The 13,918-nt window shown below is 47.0% G+C and overlaps 1 protein-coding gene across 6 annotated transcripts in view; it reads left to right on the top strand.

Moving 5' to 3' along the window:
- ELF5 (E74 like ETS transcription factor 5) overlaps positions 914-13,918 on the top strand; it is a 35,004-nt gene continuing 21,999 nt past the window's right edge. For 4 of the 6 annotated variants that reach the window (NM_001243080.2, XM_017017308.2, XM_017017309.2 and 1 more), the window contains exons 1-2: positions 914-1,031; positions 8,955-9,079. In NM_001243080.2, the coding sequence (NP_001230009.1) occupies positions 8,959-9,079 (121 nt within the window). In that variant the 5' untranslated portion in view covers positions 914-1,031; positions 8,955-8,958. Of the gene's footprint in view, positions 1,032-2,983; positions 3,165-8,954; positions 9,080-13,918 lie in introns of those variants that run through there. The other 2 variants (NM_001243081.2, NM_198381.2) reach the window with 1 other exon arrangement.

Raw genomic sequence — 13,918 nt, 5'->3', positions numbered from 1 at the left:
CCTTCAACAATTTTTCCATGATGACACCCCGAATCCTCTCACGAACTGCCTTTTGTTTCTGCAGACTATATGCGTATTTGTATTTGTGTGTTTGTAACCATGCCCGGTGATCCCAAGAAAACATAACAAACCAGTCCTTGCTTTCGCTTTAAAGCTTGGAGTCTGCCATTTGAATACAACATCTCGGCTGCCCAAGATGGCTAGAAGCAGAATGCAAAAAGGCACAGGGTTATAAATACCTGTCTCATAGATGACCTGGGACACTGTGCTTTGCAGCCTAAATTAGGCAGAGTTTCTGTTGTCACGAAGAAGTACTAAAAAGCGGGCAGTTCTCAGCGAGACACCTGAGAGCTGGCATCCACATGAGGAGAGGCCCCATCACTTACATTACACTCATGAAGCCCAGAGATGTTAGCTACATTTTTCTAGGTAGCACAGCTAGGAAATGATGGACACTGAATTTGAATCTAAAGGCAACTAGCTGCAAAACCTGAGGTCTTAACACTGGGCCTATAATGCTCTTCCTTCTCACCACATGGGAAAAACGGAGAAAGACATGATCTTACAAAAGCACTGGGCTCAGCCAGCCTGGGAGAGAGGCAGCGCAGACCGGCACCAGGGTGGAATCTCTGTGTTTCCCCTCCAGCTTGCACAGAGGAAAATTCCTCACCAAACGCACGATCCCCGCACAGCTCCCAGGGACAAGAATTTTCTGCTTGTTTACTGAGTCCCCTGGGCTGGGAGTGGGGGGTTGCAGGGCAGGGGTGAGCTGCGCACAAAAGCAGGATAAAGGTAAACTTTCTGCATATGAGAACCATTTCCCCCCCTCCAAGGAGCCGTGTCACACTGTATGTCACCGTCATCAAAGGGGCTGTGCGTAAACCTGAAAAACCAAACGGACCTGTCTGTAGGTGTCACTTATATCACAAGGCTACAGGTGTCTTTATTTCCACTGCACGCTGGTGCTGGGAGCGCCTGCCTTCTCTTGCCTTGAAAGCCTCCTCTTTGGACCTAGCCACCGCTGCCCTCACGTAAGCGCCTTTTCTTTGCTTTTTTGGATGAATCGTAAGGGGTGTCAGGGCTCAGAGGCTCGGCCTGGGGCCTGGGTCTGCTCGTCCATCTCCAGCTCCAGGGCCGGCACCTGCGCTGGGTGCAGTCCCAGGGCCTCCGGGAGCTGTTTGACACGGATGTGACGGCTTGCCTCAGAGAGACCTGCTTGCCTCCGCAGGCCGTGTGGCCACCAGCCCTCCTCACAGCCACCACTCCCTCTGGATCCCTTAGCTGAACCAAGGGGAATTAAGAGAACGCGCCCAGGCGCTCAGTTCTCTATCCTCCCTAAAGCTTCTTTAGGAAGGGAAGCTGGATTTTACTCAGAAAAATATTCAGCTTCAAGGAAAGCCCCCCACCTACCCTTCTCCCCTGACTGAATTCCTTTCCCCACCGGCCTGCCCACTGTCCCCCACCCCCTCGATACAGAGAACTCCCTTATTATAGTTTGGGGCATTTTCAGGAATTTGTACAAAACAGTTTTAAAAGAAACCCATTTGCCCTCTGACATCTCCCCAGAAGAGAATGCTTCCAGAAAAGCAATGGTTAGCGTTTTTCCACTGTGTTCTCAGGCCTTGTCAGACTCTGCAGTGTGTGGGGTTTCTGTGGGGTTGCCCCCTGCTGACAGCGACAGGTAGCACAAGCTCCCTCCTCAGGCTGAAGCCGGGCCTGCGTGTGGATGCCTTTTGTACGCCCGAAAGTGTGTCAGACATCACTAGGTGCAATCGCTTCATGTTACAGATGAGGAAACTGAGGCCAGAAAGGCTAGATGACTTAGGGAGGCAGCTCTGTGGTTCAGTCTAGTCCAGAGACCCAGGGAAAGGGGTGGTTTGCCCATCCGAGTGAACGCTTGATTCTGTTGTCTTCGTGTTCTCTGCAATACTGTTTTTCATAATCTAAGGTATTCTCGGGCCGGAGTTTTCAGTTTGGTCATCTCCCTTTTTCAGAAGTCACCAGAGTGGCAAATTTTTAGATACATTGTTGATGGCTGATTTTTCCCTCTAAAACAGGATTGAATATATGTATTATGCCCCGTCCTTTGCATATATCGGATTGCATGATTTAAAAAAAAAAAAATCCCCATTTTAGAGATGAGGAAACCGTAGTTCGAAGAGGGGCATGAATATTTATATACCACATCTATATGAAAAAAAGCTTAAGAATTTCAGCAGTCTGGGTAGTAAGAAATGTGCCCCACGTTCGCAGCAGCAGAGGTAGGATTTAACCCCTGATATATGTAATCCAAAACTGGTAAGCTTTGCATCGAAGCCTACAGCAAACTACATGGCATACCTTTTTGGATCTTCGCTGCACCTTCAGAAAAACAGCTACAAACAAACAAACACGCAAACTCCCTAAGCGAGCTAAAGAAAAATGAGGAATCACTTGACAAGAGGTCAGCAAATTGGTTCTCACAGTTGCTAGGGTTCCTCTCAGAAGAACAAACCCTCAAGCACCCAACCCTCAATCTTTCTTTAGCAGTAAGTGTTGAAATACTCCACTGGGTTCTCCTCAGTGGGCCCCTTCTTAGGGAGGTCCAAGGGCTGGGAAATTGACCCTCCCTTGCTCACAAGTCTTGGGACGGAGTGGACATTTGGGTATCACTGAGGCTTTAAGGAAGGAAAACCGATTTTCTTCCCAATGATACCACTCAGAGGGTGGGGTTGAGGAAGCCCAATCTTGGCCACTTTTTTCTATATTTTGCACCCTATGGCCTAGTTCTGCCCAGTGATGATTTGGCCCGTAAACAGCCAATGTGTAGATGCTTAATTGGGCCAATTTTTGGTCACATGCCCAGAGTGAAGTTGATGATCACCACCAGAGTCAGGAAGGAATTTTCCTCCTCTGGCAAACTGGCCAAGGCTGAGTGGTTTGCTCCTTCCCCTCTCTCTGGGAGGCTGAGCAGGGGTGCCGGGTTGCTCAGGCCATGGGAGCCACACCTGTTATTGCTGCCTCTGATTTGTGTGACACTGAGAAGCCCACAGGCCTGTCCCTCCAACTCGGTGGACCCTCTCTGTGTGCATTTGGTGTGTGAGCCAGCTCTGAGAAGGGTTCAGAAGCCACTGGAGGCATCTGGGGACCTCAGCTTCCATGCCATCTCTGCCTCACTCCCACAGGTACCTGCAGCCAACTTTCTCATGTGTGAAGTGAGCCCACCTGATTCCACCACCTTGTGTTAATCATTCTTGAGCTTTTCCTACTTACTAGGCAGCTAGAATGATGACTACATTTGGGGGAAACTGATTCCAGCTTCCACGGATCTATCGGTGGGCAGTGAGTGAGGGTCCAGAGTGTTTAAGGTACCCAGCTAGGCTGGGCAAAGAATATCCAGTTGTCCTGAGGTATCTACCTCCAACTGGGGTAGAAGGCAGTGGGCACAGGAGAAAAGGGAGAAGAGGAAATCAGGGAGCTTTTTCAGCACTAAAAGTTCAGTCTGTGTGTAGTGGTTGGATTTTCCTCCAATTTGGTGGACTTGCTTGACCAAAAAAATGCAAATATAATCAATGTGTATGCATATGTGTGTGAGTGCCCAGGTTTGGATGTGTTGGCTCAATCAGGTGGGTGTCTGCAGAAAGTCACAGAGTTAGGGCAGACCTTGGGGGCTGTTTTATCTGTGTTCTTGTTTAGTAGTTGAAGAACTGAGATTTGGAGAGGGGCAAGAGGCAGAATCATAACTCCAGGCCCAGGGCTCCTTCCATGATGAGCCAGCTAGTCCCTCACAAAATGAAAAGTATGTCCAGAACAGCAGGCCAAGAGACCTCCCAGCAGATCCCTGTCTGTACTGGCGCTGACACTAGGTGGATCTATCACAGCGCTTCTCCACCTTTTTTTTATCACTTCTCCTAAGGACACTTTTTAGGTCATTTTTTCTTAATCATCTCCCCACCAGAAATGTGAGTACCAGAGATAAACTATACATCTACTGTAGACCTTTGGAGCATGATAAAACACTGTAATTAATAACTCAGTTTTTTGATCCCCAAGAACTCATCTTTGTTCCCTAAAGAGGGGGGCAATATCACCCCCCTTGAGCAGGCCTGGCCTAACCTCAGGCCTGTGTTCACATATCCCTGGGCCTCAGTGTTACTTCTGAGAAAGGGGGCTCTGGACATCTGCCTTTTCACACCTATCCTGCTCTACCTCCACTAAAGAAGTCCTTAAGAGCTAAAATGTTCAATTATTGCAAGGACCTTAGAGGGCCTAGAGAAGAGAGGCTACTGAATACAAAGCAGCCATTATTCTTGAACTCTCACACCTACTGCATGCTGGCTAAGTAGCCAAGGTCTTTTGTGGAGAGCCCAGAGTTAATAACACCCACTCCTGCTGTAACAGGAAAAAAAAAAAAAAACACCTTTTTCTGCTTTTATAAAAGATATTTTTTCCAAAAGCAAGAAATAATTACAGAAGAAAAATAGCATGCTGTACACCTGAGAAGGCCCTTTACAAAAACTTAATGGATATAATTTGCCTTAGAAGGAATTACCAAAGGGAATCAGATACAGCATTGTGTATAGCACTAGAGAGATTACAGATCAAGTGAGTAGGCCGGTATAAAGAGGAGAAAGAATAACAATATTAAAAGAGGTAAAAATACTATTGATCAAAAAATATTTCTAGTTTTTATATAATGCCATTCAATTTACCAAATGACCTTTTTTTTTGTTAATACCCAATGACTTTTGAGAGCAATTAGTGAGGCATAGATGAGGAAGATCTCATTCCCACTGTCGTGTTTTGTATTTGATGGATTCCTTATTTGACACTGAAGACCTGGGGACTGTTTTCTGTTTTCTTCCGTGTGGAATTCACCTCTCCTTTCTCCCAACCCAAAGAAGGTCATATCACAGGCCTGCCATCCTCTTCTTTAGTTTTCTGAGCCTTCTGGCCCAGAAGAAAAGGGATATATTTGTCTTCAGCCCTCACTTAAAGGAACTTTTCTGAAGTCCAGTCCAGAAAGCAGAAGTGGCTTTCAGCTCCTGAGGCCCTTCCCTTCCTCATAACCTCTCACCCCATCCCTCAGCATCCTACCCCCTCCCTGCCCCCCTCACTCAGGATATAAAACCAGCCAATCCGTGGGAAAATCACAGCCCAAACCCAGGCAGCCTTGACATCTGTTTGATTGGGCTCCCAGGAGGAGATCCATGCCCACGATAATCTGCAGAGCACATTAACCCTCTCCAGGCATCAGCAAAGAGACTTCCCAGCAGAGTCTGGAAACTCTTGGGTGATGGCCCAGAAAAGGTGCCTAAGTGTCAGAATTCAAACTCGGTTATATATTTACATCTGGAGAGGAGTTCTCATGCACGTTTTTGTTGTTGTTGTTGTTGTTTTCGAGACAGAGTCTCACTCTGTCACCCAGGCTGGAGTGCAGTGGCACGATCTCAGCTCACTGCAACCTCTGCCTCCTGGGTTCGTGATTCTCATGCCTCAACCTCCTGAGTAGCTGGGATTACAGGTGTGCACCACCATGCCCAGCTAATTGTTGTGTTTTTAGTGGAGACGGGGTTTCGCCATGTTGTCCAGGCTGGTCTCGAACTCCTGACCTCAAGCGATCTGCCCACCTTGGCCTTCCAAAGTGCTGGGATTACAGGCATGAACCACCGCACCCGGCGTCTCATGCACATTTGATGGTGATGATGATGGTGGTTGGAGATTTTCAAGCATCTGCAAAGAATTGACCTTTGGTTTCAGAATCACACAATCCTGCCCCTCTTAGTACTGAGGTTTGATTTGCTATATAAGTGTGCCTTGGGGCTCAATTGTGTTTTCAGAAAGAGAAGCAGATGGGCTGAGAGTCAGAAAACTAAGGACCTCCCTGCCACTTAACTCTGGCATCCACTGGCTATGTGACCTTGAGCTAGTTACACAAATTCCCTGAGTCTCAACTTCCTCAACTGTAAAATGGTGGAGGCGAGGAGGGAAATTGGACTAACTCAGTATCTTCCAACACGTGGTACTCACATCAACTGGCAACATGCCAGATGAATCTGGTTAGGGGTTGCAAACTTTTTCTTAAAGGGCCAGGTATTTTAGGATTAGCAGGCCAAAAGGCAAAATCAAGGATATGATGTAAATATTTATATAACCACTTAAAATGTAACCACTTAAAAATGTAAAGTTTTTTTTATTTTTTATTTTTTATTTTTTATTTTTTTGTGAGACATAGTCTTGCTCTGTCGCCCAGGCTGGAGTGCAGTGGCACAATCTCGGTTCACTGCAACCTCTGCCTCCCAGGTTCAAGCGATTCTCCTGTCTCACTCTCCCGAGTAGCTGGGATTGCAGGCATGCACCAACACACCCAGCTAATGTTTGTATTTTTAGTAGAGACGGGGGTTTCACCATGTTGACCAGGCTGGTCTTGAACTCCTGACCTCAAGTGACCCACCCGCCTCGGCCTCCCAAAGTGCTGGGATTACAGGTGTAAACCACTGCGCCCAGCAGTAAAATTATTTTTAACTGCAGGCTTTACAAAAATAGGTGAGGGACTGCATTTTGCCTATAGGATGTAGTTTGCTAACCCCTGATTTAGGTGGCGCATGAACCATTTTTATTCAAATGCTTAAATATTTATTTTTATGTATGTTTAAAAAATCCTGACTTTCCATTTATATTGCTAATATAAAGTTTTCCTTTTAATTAGCATATTTATGTTAAAACAAAAAGGGAGTTGATGATTTTTTTAAGTATTTTAAGTAAATAATAGTGCTCGTAGTATATGGATTGAGTGAAATTATCACAGTCGTAGGCAAATGACTGAAGTTTAGGAAACACTGGACTAGATGAAGAATTCACTCCTGCCAATCTTAAAATTCCATGTGTTTAATATCCCAAGACACTTACCAGTGGTGTGATCTTGAGCAGCTATGTTCCCTTTGCAAAACGAGGAAAGAACTACTCTATGTCAACATTATTTCAAGAATCAGAAAAAAGAATTCGGGTGAACAGATTGTTTTAATCCACCAAACACAGATTATTATTTTTTCTGAATTGCGGGGAGATGGGATTCAGTAGAGAGTGGCATGTGGGAACATGGGAAGCAGCAAAGTTGAGACCAGCACAGGCAAGAATGTGTGCAAGCGGGGGCCCTAGGCCTGTTCTTTTCTGCCTTCCTTCCAGCCTCAACCACACACCCTGCCCCAGAGCTCCTTGCCGCCACCAAAGTGTGTGGGGACTGGAGCACAGCAATTAGAATGGGCTTTTTAAACAGACACACCTGAGCCACCACCCAGCTTCGCTGGCTTTGCATGTATTACCCGGAATCTCAGAGCCTCCATCCCTCACCTATGAAATGGAACTGCTGCCAGTACCTATCTCAGAGTGGTTGTTCTGAGCAGACCAGGAAGAATATAGCTAAAGTGCTAAAGTACTCAGCATGAAGCCCAAAGTGAAGTGCTTGTTGCAATTACCACAGGTCCACACTCGTCTCCAAAACCTTGGGCCGCACATGCTGCAGAATTCTGAATTCTTCACAGATTTAGGAAGGCGAGATAGTATATATACAGTGGAGTACAGATTACCCCTCAGGGTTTAGGGTTTGCTCTAAACATTAATATTTCTGCACTGCATCATAAGAATATTCACTCAGTGCAATAAATAAAACTGCAACCATAGTTATAAAACTGTATAACATATATATGTTGTATGTATGTGTATGTATGTATGAAACAGTATATAAAACTATATAACATCAATTCAGGACTGTTTTGTGCTAGAAAATAAGATTGCAGCAAACACACACACACGTACACACACACTTCCTTTCAGTTTTCAGAGCTTTCAGATTTCAGAATTATGGATTAATCACACACAGTAATTCTTACCTCATTTTTATTTATTTATTTTTTTCGGCCAGTTTCTGTGGCTCACACCTGTAATCCCAGGACTTTGGGAGGCCAAGAAGGGGAGATCACTTGAGGTCAGGAGTTCGAGACCAGCCTGGCCAACATGGTGAAACTCCATCTTTACTAAAAATACAAAAATTAGCCAGGTTTGATGGTACACACTTGTAGACCCAGCTACTCGGGAGGTGGAGGTGGGAGGATCGCTTGAACCCAGGAGGCAGAGGTTGCAGTGAGCCTAGATCACACCACTACACTCCAGCCTGGCGACAGAGCAGGATTACATCTTTTAAAAAAAACAATTTTATTTTATTTTTATTATTTCAACTTTTAGTTTAGATTCAGGGGGTATGTGTGCAGGTTTGTTACCTGTGTGTATTGCACCATGCTGAGGTTTCAGGTGCTATTGATCTCATCACACAGGTACTGAGTATAGTATCCAGTAGTTAGTTTTTCAACCTTGGCCCCCTTCCCTGCCTCCTCCCTCTGGTAGTCCCCAGTGTCTATTGTCCCCACCTTTATGTCCAGGAGTACTCAACATTTAGTGCCCCCTTCTAAGTGAGAAGATGAGGTATACGGTTTTCTGTTCCTGACTTAATTTGCTCGGGATAATAGCCTCCAGCTGCATCTGTGTTACTGCACAGGGCATGATCTTGTTCTTTCTTATGGCTGCATCTCACGCTGTTTCTAGAAGCATATTATTGAACATCATAAGTCAGAGTTCAGGGGTCAGATGTGAGCAAACAGGAAACATAAATAAAGAGGCAATATTGCATAATCAGAGCCTCCATGCTCCAGTCCCCTCTTTGCCACTTTCTAGTTATATCACTTTGGCAATTGTCTCAACCCTTTTGCCTCAGTTTTCTCATCTAAAATGGGGATAGACAGGATATGGCAAGGGTGGAATAATGTCACTCGTAGGTGACACTAGGCGGTGCCTGCTCCTAGTGAGTGACATATTTGTTATCATTTTTAAAAAACAAGTATCGCCCTGCTAGGGGCTCCTGCACAGTGTGGCTTCAGGAGTACCTCACCCCAGCCTCCTCACGACCTCTCCTGCTGTTGCAGGGTAATGTTGGACTCGGTGACACACAGCACCTTCCTGCCTAATGCATCCTTCTGCGATCCCCTGATGTCGTGGACTGATCTGTTCAGCAATGAAGAGTACTACCCTGCCTTTGAGCATCAGACAGGTGCGTACATTTGAAGGAGCCCATCTGAGTGCAGCCAGGATGGGCTAGGGCAGGAGGTGGTGCTGGCCGCAGGTGGAAGACAAAGCTGTGCTGGGGCCTAGGAACACCAGAGTTCAGGGCAGAGGGCTGGAGGGCTCCTGGATGGAAGGAAGGGCAACCTCTTGCAGATAAAAGGTGCTGGAACCCTCACCCCCAAACTCCCTAGTTCTGTGGCCTCGAGGCCGTGCACGGCTCAGCTAACCTCTCTGAGCCTCGTTTTGCTGCCAAGTAAAATGTACGTCTCTTGGAGTTATTATGATATTTAAACAATGTAGTAGAAAGAAAGCCCTTAGCCCAGGACCTGGTATGCTGTGTTTGCTTGGTCATGGTGGTTTTAGCCAACATTTACTGAACACGAGCTGTGTACCAAACCTTGTGCCAAGCACCATCTCATCCTTGCCAAAGCCCTATGAGATGAACAATTATTATCCCCATTTTATACATGAAGAAACTGAGATACAGAGAGGCTAAGTGACTTGCCCTGGGCCTCACAGTTAAGCTCCATGCAAGTTGACCCATCTTATAATTGATATCACACTGTGGTTATTGATATTAATATATCATTATTCTCTGAGCTTCTATTTCTTTTTCCCTAAACCAGGGGTGATGAGAGCTACTATAAGGACTAAGGGAGCCAAAGGGTGTAAATATGTAGCCTGGCACAAAACAAGTGTTCAGTAAATATGAGCCCCTCACTGTTCCCCAGGCCTCCTTCCCCACCCTCCCTCCTCTTTCTCAGCCTGGATTTCTCCACCTGAGAAGGCAGCATGGGACCTTGAGAAAATCCCATGCCGGAGGGAGGCCAGCCGAGCTTTGCCCCCAGAAACCCTCTGAGGGCCTCTGTCACTGAGGTGCTTGGGTGACCACATATCACAGCACACCTGGCTGACTGCTGGCACAACAGGAGCACACGCTGCTCAGCGGTCATGCAAGTGCCAATCAAGCTGTCAGTCCTCACTGAGTGTTAACCCCATGTAGGAGTCCAGACTCAGTGTCCGGAGGCAGGCAGTGTGCAAGAGAGGCCATGCCTCCAGGGACTGCAAAAAGTCCACTACCAGAAGCCCCTGCCTCTGGGGCCAGGGACCAGGCCACACTCACAGACTTGAGGCACTTACCTACATAATGCAATCCCACACCTGCCCCCACCCCACATGGACACACATACACACACGCGTGCACACACACACACGCACATGTGAAATCTCTCACCCTCATCTGTAAGGTCTAGATCATTGCATTTGGACTTGAATCAAACAGATACATCTTACAATTCTCCTTTAGGCCTAAGAAGCACCTTGTTTCCCAGAAAGACATGAGAAATGTACTGTGTCTCCTTCCCTTGAACTTTGGTTAACAGGTTAAATCTGAAGGAGGAAAATGAAAACTTTCAAGTCGCCGTGCCCTCCCTATGTTTCCCACAGTGGTGGGGCCCAGCTCCAGGCTCTCTCTCTACCTATGCATAAGGCCAGGCCTCACTTAACCCAGACCTGCCATCATGAGAGCCCCCTCTTTCTGCCTATTCTGCTGGGAAGTAGTTGGGGTGGCAGTGGGAGGGGCGGGCTACAACCAGCTGCCCCAGGCAATGGCCTGGGCAGTGAAGCAGCGGCTCTGTGTCATGAAGACCTGGTGTGTCCCAAATGGGAAGTCTGGCTCTGACACTAGCTGTGTCATCTTAACCTCTCATGTCCCAGTTAGTTTCTCATCTGTAAAATGGGAATGACCACAATGCTACCTTGTAGAGTTGTTATGCTAATGAAATGAGTTATCATATGGGAAGTGTTTAGGACACAGTCCGGTACCTGGTAAGCACACATAACTGTTTAAAAAATTGAAGGATTAGCTGGACGTGATGGCTTACACCTGTAATCCTAGCACTTTGGAAGGCCGAGGCAGGATTATCACTTGAGCCTAGGAATTGGAGACCAGCCTGGGCAACATAGTGAGACCTTGTATCTACAAAAAATTGTTTAAAAATTGGCCTGGTATGGTGGCACATGCCTGTAGTCCTAGCTACTTGGGAGGCTGAGGCAGGAGGATCCCTTGAGCCCGGAAGGCCGAGGCTGCAGTGAGCTGCAGTCACGCCACTGCACTCCAGCCTGAGCGACAGTGAGATAAAAAAAAAAGGTTGGGGAGCAGGCATGGTGGCTCCTGCCTGTAATCCCAGCACTTTGGGAGGCCAAGGCAGGCAGATCACCTGAGGTCAGGAGTTTAAGACCAGCCTGGGCAACATGGAGAAACCCCGTCTCTACGAAAAAATACAAAAATTAGCTGGGCATGGTGGCACGCACCTGTAGTCCCAGCTACTCGGGAGGCTGAGACAGGAGGATCCCTTGAGCTCAGAAGGTTGAAGCTGCAGTGAGCTGTGAGTATGCCACTGCACTCCAGCCTGAGCAACAGGGGGAGACTCTGGGTCAAAAAAAAAGGATTAGTTTCAGTTTGGGATAATGAACAAATTCTGGAAGTGAATAGCACTGATGACTGTGCAACAATGTGAATGTACTTAATGCCACTGAACTGTACCCTTAAGAAAAGTTAAAATGATTAAGTGTTATATTATGTATGTTTTACCACAATTTTAAAGAATGAGGTTAACAGAAGTGATCACCAGTGGCATTGCCAGAGTTCCTTAAATCCAACCAAGTCTTAGACATTCAGACACAGCTCTCTGGCCAGAGGCTTCCGCATTTCCATCAACGTCATGAAAGGTTAGACCAGGCCATTGCTAGGATCCCTTCCAGAAGCTTCTGTGATTCCTGCATCAGGCAATATCGAAGACACAGCCTTCTCCTCCCACCACCCACTGAGAAAACAGAAATTCCCATCAAGTCATGCGGCCAGTGAAAATAAAATAGCCTTCGAGACTGGCCCAGGTTCCTAAGGCTCCCTGAGGGATGGAGCCAGGCTTTCAAGTAGCCACCGGCCCTCGGGATTTCAGGGGAAGCTCAGTATCACTGACCTCCAAAAGGTCGAAGTTGGGTGTGAAATGTTCACCTGGAGTAAACACCTCTCTTGGAGCTGCCTGGGCACCGGGTGAGCCTTGTAGCCCCTGCTCTCCTCCACAGGTGGGAGGATTAGCAGGAGGGGCCTTCTGTCTTTTATCAACAAGGACGTTGCCACCCAGAGAGGTGCAGCCATTTGGAGTTTCTACAAAAGCCCCCTCTGGCAGGGGTGGGTCAGGAGACAGCCAGCTTTGCCTCTGGGCACTGCTCAGCCAACTTTCCCTGCTCCATGGCCAGCAGGCTCTGAGATACCTCTCCTGAGGTCCTTACCCACCTCCCAGGAAATACTATCTGGAATTCTGGGCCCTCCTAAAGATTGTTGCAGTGGCAGCTTCCTGTTCACCCAGGTTCATGGGCAGGCACTGCCACTTACCAGCCATGTGACCTGCAGCCAGTTTTTTGAGATATGCTTTCCTCTGCCTCCTGGAGTTGGGGAGATTGAATGATATTTTGTGTACGAAGTGTTTAGTCACGTGCCTGGCACTTGGGAAGTGCTCACCCTAGCCAAGAACTCCTCACCACTCCCTGTTGGGTGGAAAAACAGCCTTCCCTCTCCTCTCTTCATTGTCCATATTGAACAAAAATAACAACAAAACTCCATCTCAAGCTTCTCAGTTCAGAATTTTTAACAGCTTAGATATTTGAGACCTGAGGGAAGGGAAGGAAAAGGAGAAAAAAAAATGATGTGCCTTCTAGACAAATGATGTCTAGGAGAGGGAAGGGTGGAATACTCAGCCTATTTAGGAAAACCAGCTGTTCTCAAAAACCCTTCAAATGGCTTGAGCAGAGTGCCGCTGAATCTGTGCCCTGGTGTGGTAACCACAAAGGATTCTGACCTGCTCTTTGAAGCAGGACTTCTGCTTGGCTGCACTGCAGGCAGGAGGTTGGACAGTCCAGATTGCAAAATACTCTAGAATTTCATGAACTTACCCTGCCTTGCCTGTGGCTTTTTCAAAGTAAAGAACGATGACTACTGGAAAATGTATCCAAGTGGGCGGGAGAGTTGGTTGGGGGGGAGGCTGCATGTAGTTCACATGCATATGATATTTTTAAAAGATGGTTTCTCCAGTCGAGTTCCAGTAGCCAACCCTCCAGTAGTCATTGAGTACCCTGGCCTTGCCACTACTTTCTTTCTGGAATTCTTTCCTTAACCTCCACAGACCAACACCCCTCCCCTGACAGCCAATGTGCCACGCACACATGCAGCGCCTCCTTTGCTTTGGAATCTTGCTTATACTTTGTCAGCTGCAGAGGTTTCTAAACTGAGGTTCCTGAGAGGCTTTAGGGGTTTCCCAGAGGTTCCTTAGGGACCACCAGAGAAGGGAGTGGAAGTGACAGTTGAGAAGATGGGGCTTCAGTCCTTCTCTGTCCACCTCCATCCCTAAGCATGCTTCTCCACTTTAATTCTGAAGACGGTAGAGCACAGTGAGGCTGGGCTGCAGGAGCCAGAATACACCCAGATAACCCACTCCTAGCTCTGCCACTTACGGGTTACGTGAGCTTGAAAAGGGTCACACCCGTGAGCCTTACTTTCTCCCTTTGTAAAATGGGTAACATGACAGAGGACTTCATAGCATTGTGTTAGGGACAACATGAGAAAGCACAAATAATTTAGCATGATAACGGGCACATACTAAGTGCTCAATAAATATGTTAGCTATAATATTATTGCACAATGTGAGATTTTATTTGAAGAAAGCACTTTTTGTAAGAAAAAAAAAAGTGCAAAACCCACTGGTCAGAGAAAGAGGCATCTGCATCCCCACATGGGCTTTCCTAAGCAAGATTCATGTTTTATGTA

This window comes from Homo sapiens, chromosome 11 (genome assembly GCF_000001405.40).
Source record: "Homo sapiens chromosome 11, GRCh38.p14 Primary Assembly".
Classification (NCBI taxonomy): domain Eukaryota; kingdom Metazoa; phylum Chordata; class Mammalia; order Primates; family Hominidae; genus Homo; species Homo sapiens.
This window is presented reverse-complemented; position numbering and strand designations above follow the sequence as displayed.